We start from the raw sequence: 25,707 nt of genomic DNA on the forward strand, positions 1-25,707 counted from the left end.
GCCCCACGGCGCAGACAATTCTGCACTCTGGGAATGTGGTATTTCTACCTCCAGCCATGCTCCAGAGAGCTCTGAGACCCTCTGAGGGTCATTTTCTTTTTCTTTTTCTTTTTTTTTTTTTGAGATGGAGTCTCGCTCTGTCGCCAGGCTGGAGTGCAATGGCGCGATCTCGGCTCATTGCAACATTCACCTCCCAGGTTCAAGGGATTCTCTTGCCTCAGCCCCCTGAGTAGCTGGGATTACAGGCATGCGCTACCATGCCCAGCTAATTTTTGTATGTTTCGTAGAGACGGGGTTTCACCATGTTGGTCAGGCTGGTCTTGAACTCCTGACCTTGTGATCCACCCGCCTCAGCCTCCCAAAGTGCTGGGATTACAGGCGTGAGCCACCGCACCCGGCTCTGAGGGTCAATTTCTCCCAGAACACTGACAAAAGGTGTGGCACTTACACTGCCATTTAGTCAAGTTTTTATCCGTGGGGTGTTTTTCTAAAATGTTCAGTTAAAATAAAAACTTAAAAAAGGGAGAAAACCATCTTGATGCTGAGATAGGTGATTTCAAACAACTCAAAGTACTTTAGTCATGAAAAGAAAAGCCACATCCCACAAGCTCCTCCCCCAGGGTGGGTCCCAATGTCCCAGACTTCCCTGAGAGGTCACTGGCATCATCGGCCCCCTCAGGAAAGCTGCTGCTGCTTAGGGATTCAAAGGATTCCCTTATTAATGTCTCTCTGCGATGCACTGCCTCTGACCAGCTCTCTGCTCAACACTGGAGTAACACCAAAGATAACATGCGCAGTGGCTCTTCCCCAGGCACCCTTGGGAGCAGAAATATACAAACAATCCCAGAACGATCCAGGACCCAAGGACCCAGGCTCTCGAGGAGGGCCCTGCAGACTAACCCAGGAAGGTGGGGGAAAGAAGCACACAGGAACACTCACGGCCTCTCCACCACACGCAGCACTAGGTCTGCGTGACAACCTGGGGGTGGGCCCGCTGTCATCTCATCCCTCTGACAGCTGGGGACACTGAGGCCAGGGAAGGGGTGGCTCACACTCTAGACTTTTTCCCCCCCAGGCCTGTGGGGAGCAGGATACTAGGTGAAACTGACAGGGAGGATGCGTCCCTGCGAGGTTCTGGGTGTGAGGCTCAGTGCCCGACCTTGGGGTAGCCAGGATGAAGCGTGGGGTGGGATAAGCCAGACTGAGGAGGGGCTCGTGGGCCCCAGGAAGGAGCTGGGATTTCCCCGTGGAGGCTCCTTGGGCGAGCGAGTTGGGTGATCAGATTGGCAGCGTCTGGATATTTCACGGCTTGATGGTGGCATGAGCGGGAAGCAGGAGAGAGGAGGGCCAGATGGCAGGGCTGGGGGGACTGGGCAAGGTGCAGGAGCAGATAAATGCAAGGAACCTGGTTGGGAGGCAGATGTGGCAGTGAGGGGGATGCGGGGCCCTGGAGGCCTCCCTCTAGCTGGCCTCAGGACCCAGATGGGGGACAGGCGGAGTGTCAGTATCAAGAAAAGATGTCCCTGGGAGGAAGGGCTGAGTCTTGACTTCTTAAAGAGGCACTGCCCAGCTAAACACTTGGGGGTCTGATGAGTCTCCAGGTCGGACTCCCTCCCCGCCATTGTGTCACTGCCAGGGGCACAGATAAGCATCCCCCCCGCCCCAGTTTGGGGAATTTTCCAACACCTCATGGGGAGAAAAACAAGGAAAAACCAACAAGTGCAGGTGGAAATTATTCCATGGTGCTGCTGACAACAGTGGGAGGGAGACAGTGCAGCTGACGGGGACCTCACCCTCCACCAGCCTTGAGGACAGGGTGGGTGGGAGCTGACAGTAATGTTCGCCTGGATCCAAATCAAAGCCTGGAACGACCAAGTAACCGGCCTGCTGGGTCTGAACCACAGCCCTCTGGCCGCCTTTGGCCCCACTGAGCCCCCGTGTCACAGTGTCACTGAAGCGCCTTCCCTTGACGGGTCTGTGTTTCCAAATGAAAGGTGTCAGCAGGAAAGTTCCTGGTGCCTTCAGAGTCGACCGGTTCAAGGCCAGCTCACGAATCCACTGTGGAGACTTGCATTGGTGAGGTCTGTATGCACTTAGGAGGCACGCTGGGCTGTGAGGCCTGGGAGAGCTCTCCTGAAAGGGGACTCCGCAGCTCCCTCTGTGTCTGCTGTCTTAGCCCTGGACGGGGCCACCTTCTAGTTCTCGTATCTGGGTGGGTCACACGGGCCAGAATCTGGATGTCTGTGGCCGATGCAAAACCAATAGTGGCTGGGAAACACACTGGCTCTGATTTCTGCTTCCCTCTGGCATTACCATGGAACCGAGACACCGTAGGGGCATGACACCACCCTAGCCGAGGCCTGCCCACTCAGGATGGGGTTCATTTTCAGAAGCAAATAAGTGGTTCATTTCAGCAGCCTCTTGGAAATCCGCAGTTTAGACAGCTCGGCACGCTGGGCGATGGGATGGCCCCGGGAGGCGCCCGGCACCTGTCCTCACTGGCGCTCCAAGGTGTCTGATGGCACTTCCACCCCACCATGTGCAGGACATGCCTAGCCACTTCCCATTCATTCATTTACCGACAATGAAATTGTATCCAACTCCTTCAATAATTCGAAGCACGGCCTAGCTGATCTGGTATTTGCACTACTCTTAATGCGAACTTCCAAAAGAACCGTTCCGCTAACCTAGAAATGCCACTTCCTAATACACACATTTGCCTGAGACAGAAAGGCCTGCTTTTAAAGAAATACCAGAGAGGGAAGAGGTTTCCCGGGAACAGCCACACACGCAAATAACCCATTGATGGAAATTTGGGGTTTGTAAATTAGAGGGTTCTGGAGAGGCACCGCCGGGGCACCACCTCCACAAGTGAGGTGCGGGTGACCTGGGCCCCCCTGACTGCCAGCATGGACTGGGCTGCTCCTGCACAGGTAAAAACATGCCCTGAACAGCAGTCTCAGAACGTCCACGCTGAAAGAGTCACGCTGCCAATCTGCCGGGCAGTCAGACAGCCCTCTTGGCATTTGCTCAGGGAAGTGGAATCATTCAAACCAGAGGAAGCAGCTGTGCCCTCTTCTAAGTTAGCACAAATAGTCAAGATCCAGTGAACCCAGAAACCACCAGCTGATCGGCTGAGCCCCCGAATGCCGTGAACATGGAGAGACGTCATCTTGAGTCCCCAGAGGAGAGCTGGTTATGGATGATTTTAGACAATGATACGACCCAAGGGGACAAACAAAAACAATTAAGGGTCCTGTCTTCACTCAACCCATCCCTTCAGAGTGGCTGAAGTACACTATCTGATCATTTCCTCTGGAAAAAAACTGGGGTATTTGCAGTGGGAAAAGTGATTTTAAACAGAAAACAGGCCGGGCACAGGGGCTCATGCCTGTAATCCCAACACTTTGGGAGCCTGAGGCAGAAGGATCATTTGAGCCCAGAGTTCAAAGACCAGACTGGGTAGTAAAGTGAGACCTTGTCTCTATCAGAACATTTTAAAATTAGCCAGATGTGGTGGTGCGCGCCTGAGGTCCCAGCTACGTGGGAGGCTGAGGTGGGACGATTGCTTGAGCCCAGGAGGTCAAGGCTGCAGTGAAGCTGTGACTGCACCACTGCATTCTAGCCTGGGCAACAGAGCGAGACTCATCTCCAAATATGTAAAAACCAAAAACTTAGGGAAAAAAAAAAAAAAAACAGAAAACAACAGGGCTGCATCCAGGCCTGGGTGGAATTTGCTTTCCCACCAGGAGATGAGGGTGATAAAATGGCTGGCGCTATTTTAAAACTGAAGTTAACAATTGTTCTGGAACTACCAGAAATGCTAAGCCAAATGATACCTTGAAACCTTGGGTGTTTTTTTTTTTTTTATGCTTTTCGAAAAAACGAGCCCTTTGCGGGTTGGGGTCACAGGAAATAGAATTATGAATTTCAGAAAGAGAACAGTCATTTCTTCAAGCTGCCGTTCACCCCACTTACCTAACTCTTCCCTACCCAAGACAGAGTACCTGAGTCATGTGTGAAGAGTTCTGTTTTTTTTAAATCAGCGTTTAATATTTTTCCACCAGAAAATAAATGAAGGGCTATTCAAGAAACTCTAGATAAAGCAGGTTTTGTTTCTGGCTTTTATTAACAATGTCACCATTTTGTATAGACCCCCAGTGCGCATCTAGGGTCAACAAAATCAAACTCACTGCCGTTGTAAAATATTTATAGGTCACCAAGAGCCAGAAACAGGTCAGGGTCTTGGGCGATTTAAATAAGCCACATGGGCCAGTCACGTGTAACCCCAGTACTTCAAGGTGGGAGGATCGCTTGAGGCCAGGAGTTCCAGACCAGCCCAGGCAACACAGCAAGACCCTACCTCTACAAAAAAAAAAAATTAAACATTAGCCTTGCGTGGTGTTGCACGCCTGTCGTCCCAGCTACTCAGGAGGCCAAGACAGGAGGATCGCTTGAGCCCAGGAATTCGAGGTTACAAGTGAGCTCTGATCGCGCCAATGCAGACCAGGCTGGGCAACACAGCGAGACCCTGTCACTAAAATAAATAAATTGACAAATAAGCCATAGGATAGCTGTGCACGGTAGAGATTATCAAGACGGCTCAGAAACAAATCGGGTGCTTTCTGTGCATTGACATGGCAGGGCTGTGTTCAAAGAGCCATCCCAGGAGTCGAAGCATCTATAAATAACACATCTCACACCTAATGATGAAGGAACTAACAAGCCCAAAGGAAGAAAGCGAGGGCATCACACATAGTGAAACCAATTCTGGGAAGACAACACCTGAAGCTTTCAGAGAACAAGATTTTCATGTATCAAGGAAGCTGCTAAAAACTCCTTGAAGCGACGGCATGTTACAATCTGGAATATTTTTTCACACAGAGAAAAACAAAGCCAGGCTTTCGAAATCCCGAGATTTGCTTCCGAAAAGGCACTTAACTTTGCTCAACAGTTTTTTGGAGCTCTTTTTGTTTTGGCTTTCAGAGTGGCTGTTCTAGACTGGATTTCTTTTTTCATTGGAGCTGGTAACTGAAATTTAAAAGCTTTAAAAAAAAAAAACTTCAAATTGCTCTTCCCTGGCGCGATCTGCCTGAAGTCCTTCAATTTGCACTTGTGGCACAAAATGCATGGGGCGGGACTGTGAGAACTTGTGCACAAAGGGCTTTTTGGGGACAGCAGAACCCTAATGTAACTTTCGCAATCTTCTTTTCATACTTCGGAAGTGTTTGACATCTTGGCTTCCAAAAACCAGTGAACACAACAGCCTCGGTGCGTCAGAAATAATACAATGAATCTACCGTGAAGGACAGATAGGTCCCGCCTCCCTGCTGGAAGAAAACGTGCCCTTATGATAGAGCATCCAAACTGCGGCTCTTTTTTTTTTTATTGAGAAACTGTTTTTCTTACAGAAGTGGCAGTGTAGAATAAATAACGCGAGGGACAGAGAGTGTGAGGTACCAAGAGGCTAAAGAAGCTGGGAGGTTTGCCTTTAAAAGGAGACAAAAATCCCAGGGAAGCTGCAAGCGGAAGGGAGTGGGGTGGCCCGGAGGCGGAGGACTCAACTTACAGAGGTGAAGTCTGCAAAGCCCGAGGCAGAGGCCTTAGAAGGTTTAGCTGCAGAGGAGGGGACAAATGGGTCTTTTCCACTAAACGGGTCCCCAAACCCCTTTTTACTTTGGAACGGGTCGCCGCTGTCAGCCCCGAGTGGCTGGAATGGATCGGGGGCCTCGGGAAAGTCTGCGGAACCAAGCTGGCTTACAGGTGTACTTTTACCTGGAAAGTTTAGGAGAAAAAAAAAAGGAGAAAGAAAGAAATATGAGTTACTCACCCGGACAGAGCAGAATGCTGGTGGGCACAAGCCCGGGGCGCTTCTCTGAGAAAAGCTTGTAACTTGGCTAACAGGCTGGACGGGGGTACCCTGGGGAATCCCAGTTTTAATCAGCTTTATCCCAGGGGCTTAACGGGTTGTGAACAACACAGGAAAAACACTTCAGATGACTCCCATACACAACGCACACAGAGCAGCTAAAACTTGAGTTGTCCTAGAATAGTTTGCATGCAGGTACGTTTCAAACAGATTCATTTTAGCATGGCAACACATTTATTAACATACTAATTTAAAAAATCATGGCTGAGCAGAAAAATACACTGCAAGCTTCTAACAGTAAAAAAAAAAAAAGGCAGAGGGGAGAGTTACTTGCAAATGAAAAGGAGGAATTAGTTTCACAACGTGGTATGGTTATTCGGTGTGTTAGTTATAAGGGTCTGCACACAGCTCTGCCATGCTGAGGTTTAAGTTCTTTTTTTTTTTTTTTTTTTTTTTTTTTTCAGAGACAGAGTCTTGCTCTGTCACCTGGGCTGAAATGCAGTGGTGCAATCATGGCTTATTGCGGCCTTGGCCTCCAGGGCTCAAGCGATCCTCCCACCTCAGCCTCCTACAGGCATGAGCCACCATGCGTGGCTAATTTTTGTATTTTTAGTAGAGATGGGATTTTGCCATGTTGCCCAGGCTAGCCTCAAACTCCTGCCCTCAAGTCATCTGCCCGCCTCAGCCTCCCAAAGTGCTGGGATTACAGGCATGAGCCACTGCACCTGGCCTTAAGTTCTTTTTTAGCCCCCACTTCTGTCCCTCTGGTGTTGGTGGCTCCAAGGGGCAGCGTTTATCTGGGCCTTTCTGGGCTTCTGCCAAGCAGGGAACTCCAGGATGCCCGGTCCCAGCAAGGTATATCTTGACAGGGAGGTGAGAGAGAAGTGTTCAGAAATGGAGGAAAATGACACTGTGTGGGGGACATGGCCTGAGGATGGTAGCTTTTCCCAGTGCATCCTGCCAATGTACCAGAACATTCCACCAAGAAGCAGAGGCCTGTTAAGATCTGCTTGGTGACGGGAGGTCCCACCTGACGGGCCTTCCAGCATCTGCAGTTTGCAGGCCAGCCGGGCTGACTCCATGCTCCTGACACCCCTCTATCTGCCCAACGGAGTCCCTGGGCATTCAACGTGGTCCACGCAGCACCCCAGACTGGAAGCTCAATAATATGCAACACGATTCCGGCGTGTTAACTCTGGAAGTTTCGAAGCTAATGTTTAGAAAAAACCAGGAACTGCCTGTCCCTCCAGGGTTGACCTTGGATCTCTGGCTGCACCTCCAGAGAGCACCCTGGCTCCCAGCCACACCTGCCCCGCCCACCACCTGAGCCTGGGACACCTGCCTTCCTCATCCGGTAGAACGAGCCCACACAGGCCAGCCTCGGTCCCTCTCCATGCCCAGATCTAAAGCCTTTCCCTCTGTTCCCCCAGCAGATCAGCCATCCCAGGCCTCATTTTTGAGGCCCCAGGTGTCCTTGTGGGCTCCGGGGCTACAGCCCCCATCTGCCACCTTTAGCTCTGGGCCTCGGCAAGGGAAAGTGCCTCCTCCCAGCTGGCCTCCGTTTCCTTATCTGTGAAGTGGAAATGAGAAGGAGGGCGCCAAACAAGGTGACATTCCTGGGGTCCAGGAGTCTCCTCCCACTCAGTGTCCTGCACCGCCGTGCCCAGCATAGGCCAGTGAGAACCTGGCCCGTAGCCCCCCCTTGCCTGTAGCCCTACTTCTGGAAATGGAAATTCACTTTTCTCTCAACCGGCAGTTCTGGGCCAGCATAAGGACTGCTGCTTTCTTTTTGCATATTCAAGGAAAAACAGTCTTCCTTCCCACGGTTTGCACAGAAGGACTCGGAGACAAACTCCCCTGCAGCCCACCCTTGCGGCCTGCCTGTCCGCCTCTGCCCGTCCCACAGGGTTCCACCGGGGTCGCCGTTGCATCCTTAGCTGACCTCTGGCCACCAGCTGCGGGAGATCCTTCCAGACTCCTTGTCTGTGTGAGTCCATCTAAGAGGCTCCTCCTCAGGGTTGGAGGGCGAGCTGTCCTGGGCTCTATTAGGACTCACATGGATGAGAAAGAGGGGAGGTCGAGGCCTGGTATCAGTCTCCTCCTGTGGCCTCAAATCAATTCACTGTCAGACCCAAGGCCCAGTTAGCAGAGGGGGCCCTGCAATCTGGAAGGGGCCTATCTTTGCCAAAACTTGTGGGCAAGCCATGCTGGAGACCCTTCCCTAGAGGGGCAGTGCCCAGCCCACGCGGGCAGGACAGGAATGTGGCCCCTCTCCTTCCGACAGCGCCTGCCCTCTCAGGGCAGTCCCCACACCCGAGCTTTCTAGGTGTCTCCCTTTTTCTATCCCCAGATGTCCCTCCCACCTTCAGCTCTACTGCGGCCTCCTCCTACCCCGACCTCCCCGGGGCTGCAGAGAGCAGGGTGATCTGGCCCAGCCCGCAGACCCCGGGCTGGTTCCGCTGGCCTTGAGGAACTGCCTCACACCCCCACCTTGAGACGGCCTCCCATGCAGGGCCACTCCTGGTCCCAGGCATGAGCCAATGGTAAGCCAAGGCCTCGCTGCCAGGTCTCCCGGAGTTGCCCCGTTCCCTCTCCTAAGGGACGGGCAGGCAGCTCTGGCGGGCGGGGGTCAAGTGAGGCCTGCCCAGCCTCCTGTGAGCCCCAGGCTGTCCACTGGAGCAGAAGGGGCTCCCTAGGGCTCCTGAGCAGGATGGAGGGTGGGCGAGGGCCCCTCACCTCCACCCTCCCGTCCCTAGAAGCCTCATCTCCCTATCGGCCGCCCACCAGCTCGGCTCCCTTCCCTGTGAGCCAAACCCACCCAGCAAAGTGGCCTCAACACAGGTGGGCCCCAGCACCCTGCCCAGACTGCTTGAGGGCTTCTCCCGCTTGGGGATGACACCCCAGTCTTGTCCAGGTGGCACCTCCTTCCCCAGGAACCCCCAAACCCAGGGCTTCTTTCCTGGCTATGCCTTGTCCCTCTGCCTGGAAGGCACTCCCAACTGGAATGCCATCACAGGCAGTGGCCTTCTCAGGGAAGAAATGGCAGCCCCTTCCCCATCATGCCTGTGTTCAGCTCTGCAGCCAAGCCCTGGGGCTGGGAGTGGCCCTGGAAGACGGTGTGGGGCATGGCGGCCACCCCCCTCAGCCTGTTTCTTAATCCAAACAAAGGGCTGTGTCCCCCCAACAATTGTTCATACGTTCAAGTCCTAACCCCTGTGCCTTAGAATATAACCATACTTGAAGATAGCATATTTAAAGGGGTAACTGAGTTAAAACGAAGTCAAAGGATCAATGACTGTCTTCACTGAAAGAACTTAGGACACAGATCTACACACAGAACAGCAATGTGAAGATGCACCAGGCCAAGGAGAGGTCTCAGAAGAAACCAACCCCACTGGCGCCTTGATCTTGGACTTTGAGCCTCTAGAACTGCGGGACAATCCATGTCTGCTGTTTAGGCTGAGATAGAGCAAGTGTGAGCAGGGAGCCACCAAAGCCACCGGCAGGGGCACCCTGGGGGACAGTGTGACAGTGTCCTGCACCCCAGCCTGTGGGTTTGCAGGGGATAGGGACAGTGACCTCAGCCAGTCCCTCGAGCCCCTGCCTGCTTCTGCCCAGCTTCTCCCTCCACGGGAAAGCCCCCCCTCCCCCAGGGTCCCTCACCACTCTGCTTCCCGTGGCACTGGCCTCTGGCACGGCTGAGGGTCAGCTCTGTGAAAAGCGGGCCCAGCATACCACAAATGCCAGCCAATACTGCCCCATGTCCCTGGTGCCCTCCAGCCCAGGGCTCGGCACACAGTGGGCTTCAGGAGGTCCTGGTGAACCAGGTGCCACCTGTTACAGATTCCACGGGTCTCCAGGGACCTGGGGCCCTTTGGAGCAACACCCTGGGGAGCGAGAAGGGAATAAAGGCATCTGCCCTTCCTGGTTTGCAGGAAACAGCAATGTTACTGTGCATGCTTGGGTATTTGATTTTTCCTCGAATACCTATGTGATATGGATCAAATAGCAAGATTCTAGCAGAGGAAACAGTTAAGTGTTTCCAGGGGAGAAGCTCAAAGTCCCAGGACACGGTGTAGCCCCCTGGGACGGGCAGCAAGTCCAGGGTGGACACTGCTTGATTTCTCGAAGCCGTTCCTGCAGGGAGTGATCACCTGAGGCAGATTTGCAAGAATGTGGAGGGAGGTGTAAAGGGAGGACGCCCCAGCCAGGCCCCCAAGAGCGACTGCCACGGTACAGAAGGTTCAAATAAATCAGTCATTTTTGAGCTGCTTTTCTTCTTCTTTTCAATGAAGATCTTCCTCCCTTGGTTTGGGGGGTTTAAAAAAAAGAAATTGGTTTTTGGGAGGAGCGGTTAAGAATTCTGCCTGCTACCATTTCAAGCTGAGGTTTCTGATGCGCAAAGAGATGTTCAGAGAGATGAAAAGCTTCGTTCACACCAAGAACTGCCTGTGCCTGGTTTTGCTCTGTTGCCGAAACCGTTGTTATTTAGAAATCATGACTATGGTAATATGAAACCAGGGCACATCAACTGCTGGCCTCTTGTTTTCAGAAGGAACATCAACAACAACAACGGTTTTTTTCTCAGTTGTTAGTGTTTGTGCTTTGGTAAGAGAGGAGATTTTGGACCTGACACGTGTGAGGTCAGCCGAGTGCCCGGTCCAGCTCTCGACCTTGCTAATGACCAGACGCTTTGAGCAAAGAAAGCCCCCGGCATCACTGTAGGGCCACGGCCCTCAGCCCAAACTTCCCACTTTTGCTCAGCGATTTATTTTTAGCGGCTGTATTTTTCAAACCTTCTAGGTCTAGTTCCTGCTTTTATGTAACCACTTCTGCTAACTCCTTAATCGTTTTTTCCGATTTTGTGAGGTATAGCTTATCTCAAACGTGACAAAGTAACTTTAATCTGCCTCCAGGCCCTGAAGCAAAAGCTGCCACGCGCACCCACGCCAGGGTTTTATACTTTTTTATGGCTCCAGAAAACATGAGTAAGGAGAGAGCTTTACTGACGCGCATTTCAGAAAAGGGGATGGAAATCATGAAAACAAAACCCAAAAAAGTGGGTATAGAAACATCTGGGAATGATGGCATCAAACCAGGTGCCAGGCATCATCCTGGCACCTGGTTCGATGCCATCAATCCTAGATATTTGCAGCGGGAACTACCGGGGACCACAGCAGACGGCAGTGAATAAAGACAAATGAAATTAAAGACCCTCTTGGGTGTGCTGACTGCCTACCGCAGGGAGACTTCATTAACAGGGGGCAAGGGATACAAGACTGAAGAAAACACAAAATAGAACTTATTTTCAAACCACAGCAGTTTCAACAGTTACCCAAGCGGTGTACCGAAACCACACACAGGACTGACTTTAGCAAAAACAATATGAACCAAATGGTTTACCACAGTATGTGCTGTTAAAAAAAAAAAAAAAAAAAAAAAAAAAAACTTGGTGGCCGGCTCCACCCTGATAGAAATTTCTTTAATTCTCCTATTTCTCAAGCTTCTTCTCGAGGCTGCGCACGCCCCTAGCACCCGGGATCGGGGCTGTGATGGGGCTGGCTCTGCTGCACTAGCGTTCTTGGTCAGCAAAGTTTTTCAAGGTTCTGACTTTTCTATCTTGCTTTGCAGGAAGCCCTCCGCTTAAAAGCATCCTCAAGAGCTGGGTGCAAAGCAAAAAAAAAAAAAAAAAAACCCAAAAAACAACAAACAAACAAAAAATTGAATAGAAATATACAATTGCAAACCATAAAAACGGTGAATGCTATAAAAACCTTGGAAAGGAAACTCTCTTGGTTTAAATTTTTTGCTTAGGAGGAGCATAAAAGGTTCAGGTGAGGTATGGTCTCAATCAATCCGATTAATAAAAATATTAGTAATAAACATGAGAGTGAGAGAGAGAGAGAGTGTGTGTGTGTGTGTGTGTGTTTGATCCTGGCTAGGTTCTGTTTATACAGTTCAGTTCAGTGCTGTACTTGGAAAATGCAGTTCTGCAGATGAGAGATACATACAAAAACAAAAAGAAAACAAAAAAATACAAAACAAGGGTTTGTGGTCAGGGAAGCTGCCCACCTTCGCTATTATCCTATACAACACAGAACGATCACACAACTCTCACTCATCCTACACAACTGTGGACACACATACACAACCATCATTGATCCTACACAATGGGACACACACACACAAGCATCACTGATCCTACACAACAGTGGACGCACACATACAACCATCATTGATCCTACACAACAGGGGACACACATGCACAAGCATCATTGATCCTACACAACAGGAGATGGCTACACAACTGTCATTCATCCTGCACAATATGGACACTCACACAACTCCCATTCATCCTACACAACAGAGGATGCCCACACAATTGTCATTCATCCTGCAGAACACAGACACCCACACAACTGTCATTCACCCTACACAACAGGTGATCCCACACATCTCTCGTTCATCCTGCACAACATGCACACCCACACAACTGTTATTCATTCCACACAACAGGTGGTGCCCACACAACCATCATTCACCCTACACAACACAGGCACCCACCTGTCATTCACCCTACACAACAGGCGATCTCACAAAACCATCATTCACCCTACATAACACAGACACCCACCTAACTGTCATTCACCCTACACAACAGGTGATCCCACAAAACCATCATTCACCCTACACAACACAGACACCTATGCAACTGTCATTCACCCTACACAACAGGTGATCCCACACAACCACAACTGTCATTCATCCTACACAACACAGATGCCCATACAACTGCCAGGTTTCTGAGAGTCACGCTGCCTAGGAGAGCAGTGGCCCGGGCGGGGCACCACTCCAGCAGAGCTCATCCAAGGCCACTGACATGTCTTATTCCACCCTCCCCATCCTGCCAGAAAAAAAGCTTAGCTGCGGGGAGAGGGGAGAAAGAAAACAGTATAGGTTCTAAAATTCATCACTGCTCGGGGACTTGTCTTGAAAGAGTGCTTTTCCCCAACACACGTCAACGTCTTCCTCTGGCTCCCATCTAAGACACATGAGGGGAGTTTGTTTTTTACAATGTGACACACGGGACCACGTAAGGGACCTGCAGGCTGGGAGTCCTGCAGGCACCAGCCCCGCGCGCACTCTGCCTTAGATCAAAGCTGTGTCAAGCAGCACAGCCCCGGGAGATAAGAATCTGAGGTCCCTGCGATCGCAGCGTTGAGATTTTCCACTAAAAATATTTACCGAATTTTGAGAAAATCTGCTTCATGCATTGAAGGGAACAGGATGAGGTTTGGTTCTGAACTGTTGAGAAAAGCTGAACAAATATTTACTACGAGCCACTGCTGGCCGCTGTGTTTTCCTGCCCTGTGAGGTGTGTGAGGTGGGCAGGGGGCTGTTGAACCCAATGGCTGTGGCCTCATCTTGCCATTAAAAGAAGAAAGTGGGGAAAAGGTGCTGTGCCTTGGGGTCCTCAAAAGGCAAATATCATTTGAAGTGAGAAATAACAATTTTCTAGAGGTCACCACAAAAGGCTCCCATGACATTTACATAAAACCTGCCAGGCAAGGGCTGCACCAGCCCTGGAAGAAAAAAAAGTGTGTGTGTGTGTGTGTGTGTGTGTGTGTGTAGGGTGGGGTATGTGATTTGGAAATGAATTTACAAATCACAAGCCAGTCTTCATGACAAAAATAATACAGACTGGCAGGTGTCACAATTCTGGCTTCTTTGAAAATTCGCATTTGTTCTCTGGCGGGCACCTTTGACATACCCTGCGTGAACACCCCTGGGTGTCAGCCCCATCCTCTGGGGGGATTTCCAGGGAGAGATGCTATCTATGCATGAGCCAGGCACGGGGAGCCCTGACAGGGCAAGGGGGCCCAGCTTTGTTCCTCCCTACGGAGTGTGCCAATGTCGCAGACGCCACCTCTGCAAAGGGTAGGAAGGCGCCTTGCCCACATGTAACAAGATCCCTGAGAACGCCGTGCAGCGAGTCTGAAAGCTGGTTAGGGGTCGTGCATGAAAGGACCCAAAAGAGCCCCTGGGAGGGGAGCAAGTGAGGCGCAGAGCCCACCAGGAGCTCCCATGGTGGGGGACACTTTTGCTCTCTTTATGGCCAGATTCCCCATTGCCCGAGTGCATGTGATATTTTGCAGTTAGCAGTGGCAGGCAAGGGGCGCGCTGACTCAGGGCTTTGAATAGGAGAGATGAAAGATGAGGGGCCATGTTCACCCCGCCAGAAAAGCAGGGAGGCGGTGCCCAGAGCTGCACCCAGAGCCCCCTTCTGAGGCGTCTGCCCCAGCCCTCACCTCCCTCAGGTGCCAAGCAAGGGGTTGAGGTGTCCTGGAGGCAGGTACACCCGATGTCCCCAGGGCGATGGCTCCCGTCTGTTCACACCTATACTCAGATGCTGGGGTGGGAGCCCAGCCACTCTAGGCCTGCACCCCACCCTGCAGCCCCCCAGGCCTCAGCATTTGCACCCCACTGAACACCAGATGATAATCGAGTCACACGACACTCCCTGGATCCGCCTCTGGGTACAGTGTGCCCAGGAAGGCAAATGCTTCTATTTTCAAACTCAGTGGTCTTTACAGAACAGAAAGTGCTCCAAACGGCAATCTGCCTGCAGTCAGTTTAAACATACAAGGCTGACATTCCTCCCTCTCAGAGTGGGACCGTTCCTTGGCACCGTCAGCAGGTCCCACCCAGCCCTAAGACAGACCTTCCAGAGGGCTCAGACGGAAGCTCTGAAGCTTCCTTGAACACAGCAGTGCTGGGGGATGGGGGGCGTGGGCAGGAAAGAGGGACTCCACCTGGTTGGCCGTTTTAGGCTCCTTGGGACCCCCTCCCCATCCTGGCTGGCAGGCAAGTGCCAGAATTTTCCAGGCCCCTTGAGATGGTGGAACCACTTGTCCCATTGTAGAATTTCACATGTACCCACCGGATTATCTCTCTGAGATCATCGTGGGAACGAAATTGAAGTAGTTAAGTTCAAGGCTGAGGTGCTAACCGCAGGGTTCAAATGGAGATGCCATTTTTAAAGTGGATCTTGTGCAATCAACAAAAGGTTTTGGGACCCACATGGGCACATGATGGGGAGAGGTCACTGAGCCCTGGTTTCGATGTTGGCCTGGCATTTCAGAGAAGTGGGAGAGCTGGCAGCACTTAGGACCTCAGGGCTTCCTCGGTGGCTGCATCCTGTGTGGCACCCCCGGCAGGGAGGTCAAGAACTCACGGCCACCCTGGGTGGATGCCACACACAGGTACGGGAGGGGCTTGTTTGCAAGGGGAAGAATGACTTTTGTCTTCTTCTTTTGTTGAGAGAGCTGCTCAAATCAAACAGGACAGCCGCTGGTTAAACTTAGGTAAAAGCTGTTCGTTAGTGCAACTGTGGGGAGGGGGCGAAAAGACATGCTCATCACCATCACCTATGCGGCTTTGTTTAGGAGGTGAAAAGGTCATTAGCAGTAATAAAATAATCATTAAATTGGGGAGAGGTTAAAGGTGACTGGCTGGTTAGCGGTAGAACTGCGCTGGCTGGTGTCACCGGGCGCTGCAGGCAGGAACCGCAACGCAGGGCCGCGCTGGCAGGAAGTGGCAAGGGTGGGGCCGGTCGCAGGATCCCACTATCGCAGCAGGGCTGAGGCCCAATCACTGACACCCACACAGCCGTTTCCTGCACTTAAAAAAAAAATCTGTTTCTCTCTTTGCAAATCAACAACTTTTACCTAGAAACTCTTCAGCGGTGAGCTCTGACTGATCTTGATCTCCGGTCCGTTGCAGAAAATATACCATTGTTTACCTGGGGGAGGTGTGTGCCACGGCTAACTTTAACCTAACTCTAACTGACAGGTTTCGGCAGCCTGCCGGGTCTGTGCTGCATCTGCCTGAAAGAAACCAGTTTCTTCTGCCCAAAACAGACACCTGCTGGTTATTTAATACCTTGATACACCTTTCTTGAAAAGACCTCCAGGCAAGAAGAACTTAGTGCCCACACCAAAGCTCCATGCATGCCCCAGGAGATGGCCCTTGGTGGTCCCCAGAGTGCACTTTCTGGCTTAGATGGAGACAGAACTGAGTATGTGGCCTTGAGGGCAGATGGCCAACTGTGGGCTACTCAGCTGTACGCTGTGACCGGAACTCTCCCTCGAGGAACCTCTGCAGGTTCCCAGGTGGAGGGGTCCACCTGTGACTGTCCAGGTCAACACCTGTCTGCCCGTGCACCCACACTGCATGCCAGCCACACCAAATGTCAATTTCACCTCAATTGACCTTTAAACAAAATAAGACAAGCAGCTCCCACGGAATTTGAAAACTGCAGCCTCTAGAACACAAGAGATGGCACCAAAGCCACACGTGACTCAGACCCAAACTCACATTTGGTCCTGTATGAGCGATGACCCACAGAGGACGCTGGAGCCCTCTTTGAAGTTCAACTCCCTGCACGCTTTTTTTAACGGAAAAGATTTCCACTAAACTGTGACCTCACAGGGAGAAAAGGGCCCAATTAATGACTCCCAGAATGTGTGCAGCCACCTCAGCTGCCCAGCCTGTCTTTCCTGGAAAAGGTGCCCATATGGCAGAAGCCTGCGTCCCGGTCCCTGTGCCGCAGGGTGGGGATGGGGGCTACAGACCACATACAGCACGTCACCGTGCAAGGCGCTTCACCCACACACCCACCTGCTAGGCCTGAGTGGGTCCCATGGTCAGGCAGGAAAACTGAGGCTCAGGGAGGTTAAGTGACCCACCCGGGGCCTCCCTTTCCTCCAATGTCCAGAAACCAGCCTGATCAAGCAGTCCCCTGGATTCTAGCAGAATTGGCTGCCCAGAGGACAGAAGGAAGCGGCCTCAGTTCTCCTGTCCTGGCCTCACACATCAGCCATTTCCTGGCACAGAGGCCTAGCAGGGTTCTAGAAACCTCTGGGTGCCCTGGGATGGACAAACCCTGGATGGGAGCATGGGACATCAGACATGTTCCATGTGCCAGGCGGAGAGATGACAGAAAAGCTTGTTCCTTCATTGTGATTTCCATGAGTGCAGGTGTCAACGCTGTGTGCATGTTTAAGACTGCCCACTGGACAGCCTATGGGTCCTTCAGACTTTTTGTCAGTCTGTCTATCTCCACCAGCTCAAGGCTCGACCGCCAGGCTCACAGGGGGTCGCATTTCACCTTCCTCCTCACTCAGCCACGCTGGGACCCACGCATCTCGCGCAAAGCCCCAGCATCTGGGAAGCCCTGGGGTGGCCAGGGGAAGGCGGCCGTCACTGTGTGCTGGCCGTGTGGTCTCCCTGAGCAGAAAAAGCCTGGGGTAGCAAGAAAGGCAGAAAGGCTTTTTTTGGTTTGTTTGTTTGTTTTAAGAAAACATAAAGTCCAGCAGTTTGAAAACGTTGGACTTTATGCTTAAAAAAAAAAAAAAAAATTCACAGATTAGCTTCACTATCTTCTGTCTTAAAGAAGCCAAGAAAACAAGAGATCTGCCTTGTGTCTTCCTGGCGAACTTTCTGAGCACGACTTCACCCGACACTCATCTGCTGACCGCTCTTGCCCATAACCAGAGGCCTCCTGGGCTGCACGTGGGTCTGTGCCGTGTGGCCAGGAACCGGGAAGGGAATTGTACAGAGCCCGGCTCTGATTCCCTTGACCAGAGAGCAAGGGTAGGGCAAGCATCTTCCTTTGCAATTCCCCAAAGAGCCAAACACTTCTCCCCAACATGTGACTCACCAAAGGTCAACCACTGGGTCAACTCAGTGTTTGGACTGTTAGAGGTTAGTACGGAATCACAGCACAAATAATGCTGCAAGCTCAAACGGCAACCACCACACGGTCTGTACCTACCACCCAGCAGCGAGTACAATGCAGAATTTTTCTGTTCAGCCATTGCTTCTGGGTAAAAGAATCAAATGAGAAATATTTAGGCCTCCACACAGATCTGCAGTTGCTCCGGACTTAAAATGCTGCGCGTGCATTGGCTGTTTTAGAGAATGTTCTGAAGCTCATGGCTTGGTTCTCGTTACTCCTGTCTTGGGGCAGGAGGCAGGTCACTGGGTGTAGACCTGGCCCTGCTGCCACCTTGCTGTGTGACCTTGGGGAGCCCCCATGACCTCCCTCCCCGCCTTTCCTCTTCCAGGAAATGGGCATGGCCTGGCCTGTCTCCCTCACGGGTCTTGCTGGGACCTAGTGAGATAAGAACTGTTCAAGCACTTCCTAAGGGCCCATCAATGTTAATATATTTCTGCAGAGCACCGAGTGGCACAGCAACCATCAACCACAGCAGAACAAAGATGCAGTGGCCTGTGCCACGAGTAAAGGAGCCCAGGACCCCCTGGGTCTCAAATTGTGCAACAGCTCCCTAAAAAGCCTGAACCCTGAAGCCAGGCCCAAGGAAGTCACCCAAACTCCCGTTATCAAACGTTCTACTTTTAACAAGCATTCTTTTCTGCTTTCGAAGCCCACAGTACACTAACAGCAGAAGCCAAGGTGGGGTGGGTAGGCTTGCAGAGGGAGACACGATGGGAGGTGATAACTGAGGGAAAGTTCAAAAGCAGACCCAGCGCCGGGTTTAGGTACGTGGGGAGGCGGGGGTGGCGGTTTCCATGAAACACTGAAAATGAAGCTTTGCACCTGTGAGCTGTTGAGTGGGATGGCTCCTCCTCAGGGCCCAGCAAATACGGCACTGCTCGGCAAGTGTGTGCACCCATATGAGAATACGTGCACATGTGTGTAAATGTGTGTACACGTATGTAAGCACAGAGTGTGCATGCCCGGGTGTGTATGAGCACACACGCACGCATATGTGTGTGCACGTTTGCATGCATGCATTATGCAATATCTGTGTAATGCTCACCTGTATTCATGTATATGTTCACATGTGAATATGTGCATGTCTCAATGAATGCATGCACATATATAAGCATGGAGGGTGTGCATGCCCAGCTGTTATCTATGAGAGCATGTGTGTGTGCAGGCATGCACAATGCAGTATGTGAGTGCATGCTGCTCATCTCTATGCATGCATGTGTGTACTGACAAGAGAATATGCACACATGTCCACAGATGCATATAAGCATGGAGAGTGTGCACGGAGGGGTGCATGGGAGAGTGCGTGTGTGCCTGCATATGCGTACATGCAGGCACATGCGAGAATACTCATGTGATGCAGTATGTATGTGAATGCATGCTCACCTGTATGCATGTGTGTTCATGTGCAAACAGGTGCATGCATGCATGTGTCTGCAGGCGTGGAGGATGTGTGTACACAGGGTACACATGTGCATGCAAGAGCATACACGTGTACGTGCACATACATGCATAAAAATACATGGCCGCACGTGGGAATGTGCACATGCATGTGTGCCAGCTGTGTGCATGCATTGTGATTATGCATATATGTGTGTGTGTGTGTGTGTGTGTGTGTGCTTCTGCTCCCATCTTTTAGGCAGAGTGAAGAGGCCCACTGCCGTTCCATCAGGAAGCCAACAAGGATCCCTGAAGAGCCACTGCCTCTGTGTAAGGCACAGGTGGCCTCTTGCAGATGGAAGGGAGTCCCTTTGTTGTTTTGTTTTTCCTCCTGATGGTAAATGTCTTTGATGTGTGGCTTACAGAAATGATCTCTTTACGCATCTGTATCTGCTCAACAGTTCACAGAAAATCTGCTCTAAATCCACACAGCCCATACTTGGTCATACTTTTTCTCCTGACTCATCCACAAGAAAGCCAACCTGGGCACTGCGGGCTGGGTCCCCATCCTCCTGAGAGAAGGCCATGGCCAGCCCAGGGGACAGGAGGAGAGAGGCGGTGTTCTAAAAATAACTTCCCCTATGTTCACCTCTACTGACAGGTGGCCGAGGTGCAGGACCGAGGGTCACTCGTAACTAGTGAGCTGGGGGCATGCGGAGCCTGCTAGGTCCATTCCAGGACCTGCGATGACACAGGGGCTGCAAAGTGAGGCCAGTGGCAGATTCCAGGGGAGGGGCACGTGTAGGCAGGAGGGTGAGCACCACTTCCCTCGCTGGAGCTGATGGAAAGGGCTCGGGGGCATGCCCTATCTAGGGAAGACAGGTAACAGAAGGCATGATCCTGGGAGTGCGTGGGTCTCCTGTGGCTGCCCACAATTCAGGGACAGTGTGGGGAACAGTCTGCCTGGAGGTTAGAGAATAGGAGGCGTCCCAGACCGGGGCACAGATGGAACAGGCAATGACCGGGTAGATAAATGGATCAGGGAGCTGCAGTGACTCCTTCTGCCACTTGAAGCAATAGCTTTCTGTTTGAGAGTCTGGCCAACTGGCCGCCGGCCTAACTCTGTCATACGAGAGAAATCCCACGTGTGAGTTAAAGGGCTTCAGAATCCTCAGGGGACCCTCGAGGGCCAAGGCTAGGAGACATTGGCAGCACTGGCCATGGGGAAGAGGGGCAGGGCCTGTAGGAAGTCCCCTCCTCAGAGCTGTGCGTTGAGATGCCTGGGCAAGCTGGGGCAGAGGGGAGCCCCGAGCCATCCTGCCTCCTCACATCAGATGCCACCAAGGACAATCTCCCGCTCCCTCCACTCTCAGTCCTGAAGCAGCTGGGAAGGGACTGGACCAAGCAGCGACTCCTGCCACCCTCACCCCCAACAGGCCCTCCCTGAGCACGGACAGGGAGAAGGACGGAAGAGAAGGGGCCAGAGTGGCCACAGGGCTGCCGGCCATGAGTGGCTCCTGAAGTATAGCCAGGGCGTCGGGGTGGCACTGACATGCTCAGGCGGAGGCCGCACGAAGCGCCCCCAGCCACAAGGGGAGCTCTAAGGCCAAGGCTTTGTGCACTCCAATACAGAGCCAGAAGCCCAGGGGCCCACAGGACGGGGCGAGGGCGGGCAGGCAGGAGGCACACACCACGCACATACGGCACTTGCGTGGACCTGGGCAGCTGGGCCGGGGGGACCCTCTTGCTCCCCACACAGGGTCCCACGGCATCTGCTGCTACTCTGGGCTGGTGAGCAGGGAGGCCCTGGTCCCCCGCCATCCGGCACCGGTAGGCGGTGGCTGCGAGAGAAGAAAGCTTACTGACCGCTGGGCGGTTTAGGCCGTGGAGGAGCAGGTTTCTTCGGAGGCAGAGCAGGAGTGTCCTGTTTACTTTTAAAGGGGTCATCTGAGAATCCTGCCCCTCCCAAGGAGGAGGTGAAAGGGCCAGAAGGTGGGGGCTGTAAGAGAGGACATGAAAGAGAGGCAAAAATAGTTGTTAAAACAAAGGTGACGGATGTCCACTGAACAGACGCTCATGCTCCAAGGGCCCTGGCAAGGCCTCCTACCCTCTGGACTGCACAACATGGCCCTGCTTGGACGTGGGGTCTCTTTCAAGCCCCATGCTTTCCTCCACCCTCAACAGCAGGGGCCCTCTGGCCTGTGGGTGATGAGCTGCCCAACATAGGGTGGCAGAGAGCAGTCCCATACCTCCACGGGCTTCTAGCACCAAGGGCATCCCCAGTCACACGAGGCACACTGGGTCTTTCCTGACTCCAGGACTTGGCACATAGGGTCCCTTGGGCCTCCTGCTTACACTTCAGAGACACGCCCCACCCTCACCTGTATGCTGGCTGTGGTGCTTGGCACATGCCCTGGTGTGCCGCCTCCCCACTGAGCTGGCCGGTGTGGTCACTGCCTTCAGTTAGTGATGGACAGCTCCAGGTGCTGGGTCAGCTGGCACCAGACTTTCTTCCTCCATGCCTCTGGGCTGCACATGCAGCACCTCAGGTGGAAGTGCATCCTCACATGCCCGGCCACCCGCACTGGTCAGCATGCCCACGCCACCTCCACTGGGCTCTGACCACCTCTGGCCCGGACCCTCGGTCAGCCTCCATCACACCCATCCACATCCTCCACCCCACACCTGCTGTCTCAAACCCAAATCGGACCATATCCTCCAGCTTAAAGAGAGAGACAGTCAGAGATAGTTATAACAATTGGATAGATGAATGGATGGTGGGTGGGCAGATGGATGGAATGGTAGTTGGATGAATGGATAGACATATATGTGGATTAATGGACGAATGAATGGCGGGTGGGTGGATGGATGGATGGATGGGCAGGTAGAGACAGGGAGGCGGGTGGGTGGTAGACAGGGAGGCAGATATGTGGCGACGTCTTGCAGGTAGGTAGGTAGGTAGGCACTTCCTATAGGGAAGCTCCAAGCTCTCATTAAGGCATGCAGGGACTTCATCGCTGCCCCAGCTGCCTGATTTTTCAGGCTCACCTCTGAAGTCACCCCTCCCCTCACAATGCCTCCTTAGTCCCCAGAACCCACTGACCCCCCAGCCGCTGACTCAGCCTCCTGTTTCCAAGTCCTGCAACACTCAGGTCTCCTGCTGGGGAACTCGGCCCACCTCGTCCACCAGGAACCCCTCTCCTTGCTCAGAGCCTGGCTGGACCCCACTGCCGTCCCCCAGAGCTCTCCCAGGGCTCTCCCTGGGGCTGCTTCCTGCCACCCACGCCTGCACTGCTCACTGAGCCACAGAGACACGCTTCCAGGCCTCTCCCACCTGGAGGGCAAGCACAGTCCTCTCCCCGGCACCTGCTGCCTCCAGGCCTGTGATGAGCAGATACTAAGCGCCGCCACCTGGGGGGATGCTTGTCCCTCACTTGGAGCGCCGGTGAGGCACAGGGGAGCCAGGGTCTCCATCAGCCACAGAAGGGCCAGCATATCTCAGGCGTCTGAGGGAAGGGGCTGGGGTGTCCCAGGAGGGAGAAAATCACTTTCTATGGGCAGAAGAAGGATGAGTAACCACTCTTACTAAAACAGAAAATAATTAAGTCTGTAATAAAATAGAAAATAACTACATTTTTACTAACAGAGGAAACACATTGTTACAAAAATGCAAAATAACTAGGAAATTATAGGACAAAGAGATAACACTGCGACAGGAAACAAAAGGAATGGGCAGAAATAGGGGTAAAAATGATCATGTGTTCCTGGCCGGGCGCACTGGCTCACGCCTGTAATCCCAGCACTTTGGGAGGCCGAGGCGGGCAGATCACGAGGTTAGGAGATCAAGACCAGCCCAGCTAATACGGTGAAAAACCCCATCTCTACTAAAAATACAAAAAATTAGCCGGTCGTGGTGGCGGGCGCCTGTAGTCCCAACTACTCGGGAGGCTGAGGCAGGAGAATGGCGTGAACCTGGGAGGCGGAGCTTGCAGTGAGCTGAGATCCCGCCACAGCAGCACTCCTGGGCAACAGAGCGAGACTCCATCTCAAAAAATAAAAAAAATTAAAAAAGATCATGTGTTCCTCCAAGAGCATAGAAGAGAAAGATCAGAGTGGGGCAGAGGTGGAGGGAGGGGCCGGGGGTCTTTAACTTTCTCCCCAGCAGGGAAGGCCTAGAGACAGAGAACAGGTCAAGAGTACAAAGGCACACTCCCAGGGTTTCCCTCGAGAATCTGAATGCAACAGATTGCAGATGTGGGGGAAAAGGTCTACCACCACGTCCAGCAGACAGTCTTAGAGGTATGGCTGCCTCTGCCTCCAGCATCTAGTCACACCGATGCAGCTGACTAAGGCTCCAGCGTCTAGTCACACTGACACGGCCATCTAGGCCTTCAGTGTCTAGTCACACAGACAAGGCCATCTAAGGCTCCAGCGTTTAGTCACACCAATGCAACCATCTAAGGCTCCAGCGTCTAGTCACACAGACGTGGCCGTCTAAGGCTACAGTGTCCAGTCACACCAGTGCAGAGGTCTAAGGCTCCAGTATCTAGTCACACAGATGTGGCCATCTGAGGCTCCAGCATCTAGTCACACAAAAGTGGCTGTCTAAGACTGTAGACTAGCCACACCAATGCAGCCATCTAAGGCTCCAGCACCTAGTCACACAGACACGGCCATCTAAGACTCCAGTGTCTAGTCACATAGACGCGGCTGTCTGAGGCTCTAGCTTCCAGTCACACCAATGCAGCTGTCTAAAGCTCCAGCATCTAGTCACACTGATGCAGCCAGCTAAAGCTCCAGTGTCTAGTCACACAGATGCGGCTGCCAAAGGCTCTGGCATCTGGTTACACAGATGCGGCCGTCTAAGGCTCCGGCATCTAGTCGCACAGACGCAGCCATCTAAGGCTCCAGCATCTAGTCACACAGACGTGGCCGTGTAAGGCTCCAGCATCTAGTCACACCAAAGCGGCCATCTAAGGCTCCAGTGTCTAGTTACAGCAATGCAGCCATCTAAGGCTCCAGCATCTAGCCACACAGACACGGCCACCTAAGGCTCTGGCGTCTAATCACACAGACGTGGTCATTTAAGGCTCTAGCGTCTAGTCACACAGACACAGCCGTCTAAGATTTTAGTGTCCAGTCATGCAGATGCAGCCGTCTAGGCTTCTAGCGTTTACTCATACCAATGCAGCCGTCTAAGGCTCTAGTGTCTAGTCACACAGACATGGCCCTCTAAGGTTCCAGGGTCTACTCACACACACGCAGCCATCTAAGGCTCTAGCGTCCAGTCACACCGACGTGGCCATCTAAGGCTCCAGGGTCTAGTCACACAGACGCAGCCATCTAAGGCTCTAGTCACACTGACACAGTCACACTGACACATCCAGTCACACTGACACAGCTATTTGAGGCTCTAGCTTCCAGTCACACCGATGCGGTCGTCTGAGGCTCTGGCATCTAGTCACACAGATGCGACTCTCTAGGTCTCTACAATTTAGTTGCACAGACATGGCCGTTTAGGCCTCTGGAGTCTAGTCAGAGACGTGGCCACCTGTGTCTCTGGCAGCTAGTTATAGAGATGCAGTCATCTAGGCCTCTAGCATCTAGTTACAGAGATGCATCGATCTGGGCTATTTGCGTCCCGTCACAGAGATATGGCTGCCTCGGACCTTGTGTAGTCCTAGAGTCGAGGTTGCTCGGCCCAGTCAGAGCCACATCAGAGACAGAACAGGGAGGTGGCCCCTCTAAGAGGCAGCCTACCCATTCCAGGTCCCCCCGATAAGGGCAGTGGCAGGTGCCCCCAGGGAGGGGAAGGGGCCCCAAAGGCTCCTGCACAGATGACCCCACCAGATCCCTTCCCTGGGCTTCACGCCGCCCTCTGAAGCTGCCCAGGCAGGAGACACTCGCTCTGTGCTGATCTTCTCACCTAATAATAGGCCCAGTGACCTGGCAGGGGGTCCCACTGTCAGCACCTCTGCCTTACACACAAGGAAACTGAGGCACACAAAGGAGGCGCAGCCTGCCCACATCACACAGCAGGTCCACGGCGGATCCAGGGCTGCCACATCGTCTGCCTCCCAGGCTGGGGCCACCAGACGCTGCCCTCAGCTGCCGAGGGCCACCCCAGTGGTGGGTCCAGGGCCTCGTCCTGGGCAGACTGTCCTGCCCAGGCTGGAACCCCAACCCTGCCACCTACTCAACACCCTGTGCCTTGGTTTCTTCATCTGTAAAATGGCAAGAGTGACAGAGCTCGGAAGGCTCCGGCAAGAAGGAAATGAGGTGCCATGTGACAGGCATCAGTCCACTCACTGGCACTAGATAAAGTTGGCACATGGACCACACGACAATGATCACACCAAGTACGAAGCTGCGATTGGAATCTGGGAGTGCCCCCATCTGCTGCCCCAGTTGTCCCCAGGCCTGTCCGAGACATGAGGGGCAGTGTCGGCCTGCAGCTTAGCTTTAAAATGGGCCGTTTAGGGTCGGCTGTTTGGGAAAGAATGGGGGAAAAACACTGGCCCGTCTGTGGGTGCTTCTGCGATTCATGGAACATGTCCCTGGGCCTAGGGCCCGTGCGAGTCCCCCGCGGCCTGGGATGGGGAGCCAAGCAGGTCTAGATGGGAAGTGGTGTGACCGGCTGGGCCTTGTCCTCCCTGGGCAT

The 25,707-nt window shown here is 52.9% G+C and overlaps 1 protein-coding gene across 11 annotated transcripts in view, besides 5 other annotated features; it reads right to left on the minus strand.

The window, feature by feature from the left end:
* Window positions 1-25,707, minus strand: part of EPS15L1 (epidermal growth factor receptor pathway substrate 15 like 1) — a 116,766-nt gene that overhangs the window by 963 nt on the left and 90,096 nt on the right. For 2 of the 11 annotated variants that reach the window (NM_001438224.1, XM_047439174.1), the window contains 3 exons: window positions 20,913-21,045; window positions 17,706-17,753; window positions 5,570-5,775 (listed from right to left, as the gene is read on the minus strand). The exons of 1 other annotated variant lie outside the window; for it this stretch is intronic. In NM_001438224.1, coding sequence (NP_001425153.1) covers window positions 5,570-5,775; window positions 17,706-17,753; window positions 20,913-21,045 — 387 coding nt within the window. Of the gene's footprint in view, window positions 1-5,368; window positions 5,776-17,705; window positions 17,754-20,912; window positions 21,046-25,707 lie in introns of those variants that run through there. 8 more of the 11 variants (NR_047666.1, NM_021235.3, XM_017027089.3 and 5 more) reach the window with 7 other exon arrangements.
* Window positions 10,132-10,201: an enhancer, noted in NCBI's record as "active region_14225". NCBI's record gives its function as "activates an Ori minimal core promoter by ATAC-STARR-seq in GM12878 lymphoblastoid cells {active_cell/tissue: GM12878}" and the evidence as "EXISTENCE:reporter gene assay evidence [ECO:0000049][PMID:35858748]".
* Window positions 10,352-10,581: an enhancer, noted in NCBI's record as "active region_14226". NCBI's record gives its function as "activates an Ori minimal core promoter by ATAC-STARR-seq in GM12878 lymphoblastoid cells {active_cell/tissue: GM12878}" and the evidence as "EXISTENCE:reporter gene assay evidence [ECO:0000049][PMID:35858748]".
* Window positions 15,514-15,683: an enhancer, noted in NCBI's record as "active region_14227". NCBI's record gives its function as "activates an Ori minimal core promoter by ATAC-STARR-seq in GM12878 lymphoblastoid cells {active_cell/tissue: GM12878}" and the evidence as "EXISTENCE:reporter gene assay evidence [ECO:0000049][PMID:35858748]".
* Window positions 15,824-15,893: an enhancer, noted in NCBI's record as "active region_14228". NCBI's record gives its function as "activates an Ori minimal core promoter by ATAC-STARR-seq in GM12878 lymphoblastoid cells {active_cell/tissue: GM12878}" and the evidence as "EXISTENCE:reporter gene assay evidence [ECO:0000049][PMID:35858748]".
* Window positions 19,535-20,036: an enhancer, noted in NCBI's record as "H3K27ac hESC enhancer chr19:16486555-16487056 (GRCh37/hg19 assembly coordinates)". NCBI's record gives its function as "activates a minimal SCP1, AML or CMV promoter by ChIP-STARR-seq in naive H9 embryonic stem cells {active_cell/tissue: H9 hESC(naive)}" and the evidence as "EXISTENCE:reporter gene assay evidence [ECO:0000049][PMID:30033119]".

Source organism: Homo sapiens, chromosome 19 (genome assembly GCF_000001405.40).
Source record: "Homo sapiens chromosome 19, GRCh38.p14 Primary Assembly".
Taxonomy (NCBI): domain Eukaryota; kingdom Metazoa; phylum Chordata; class Mammalia; order Primates; family Hominidae; genus Homo; species Homo sapiens.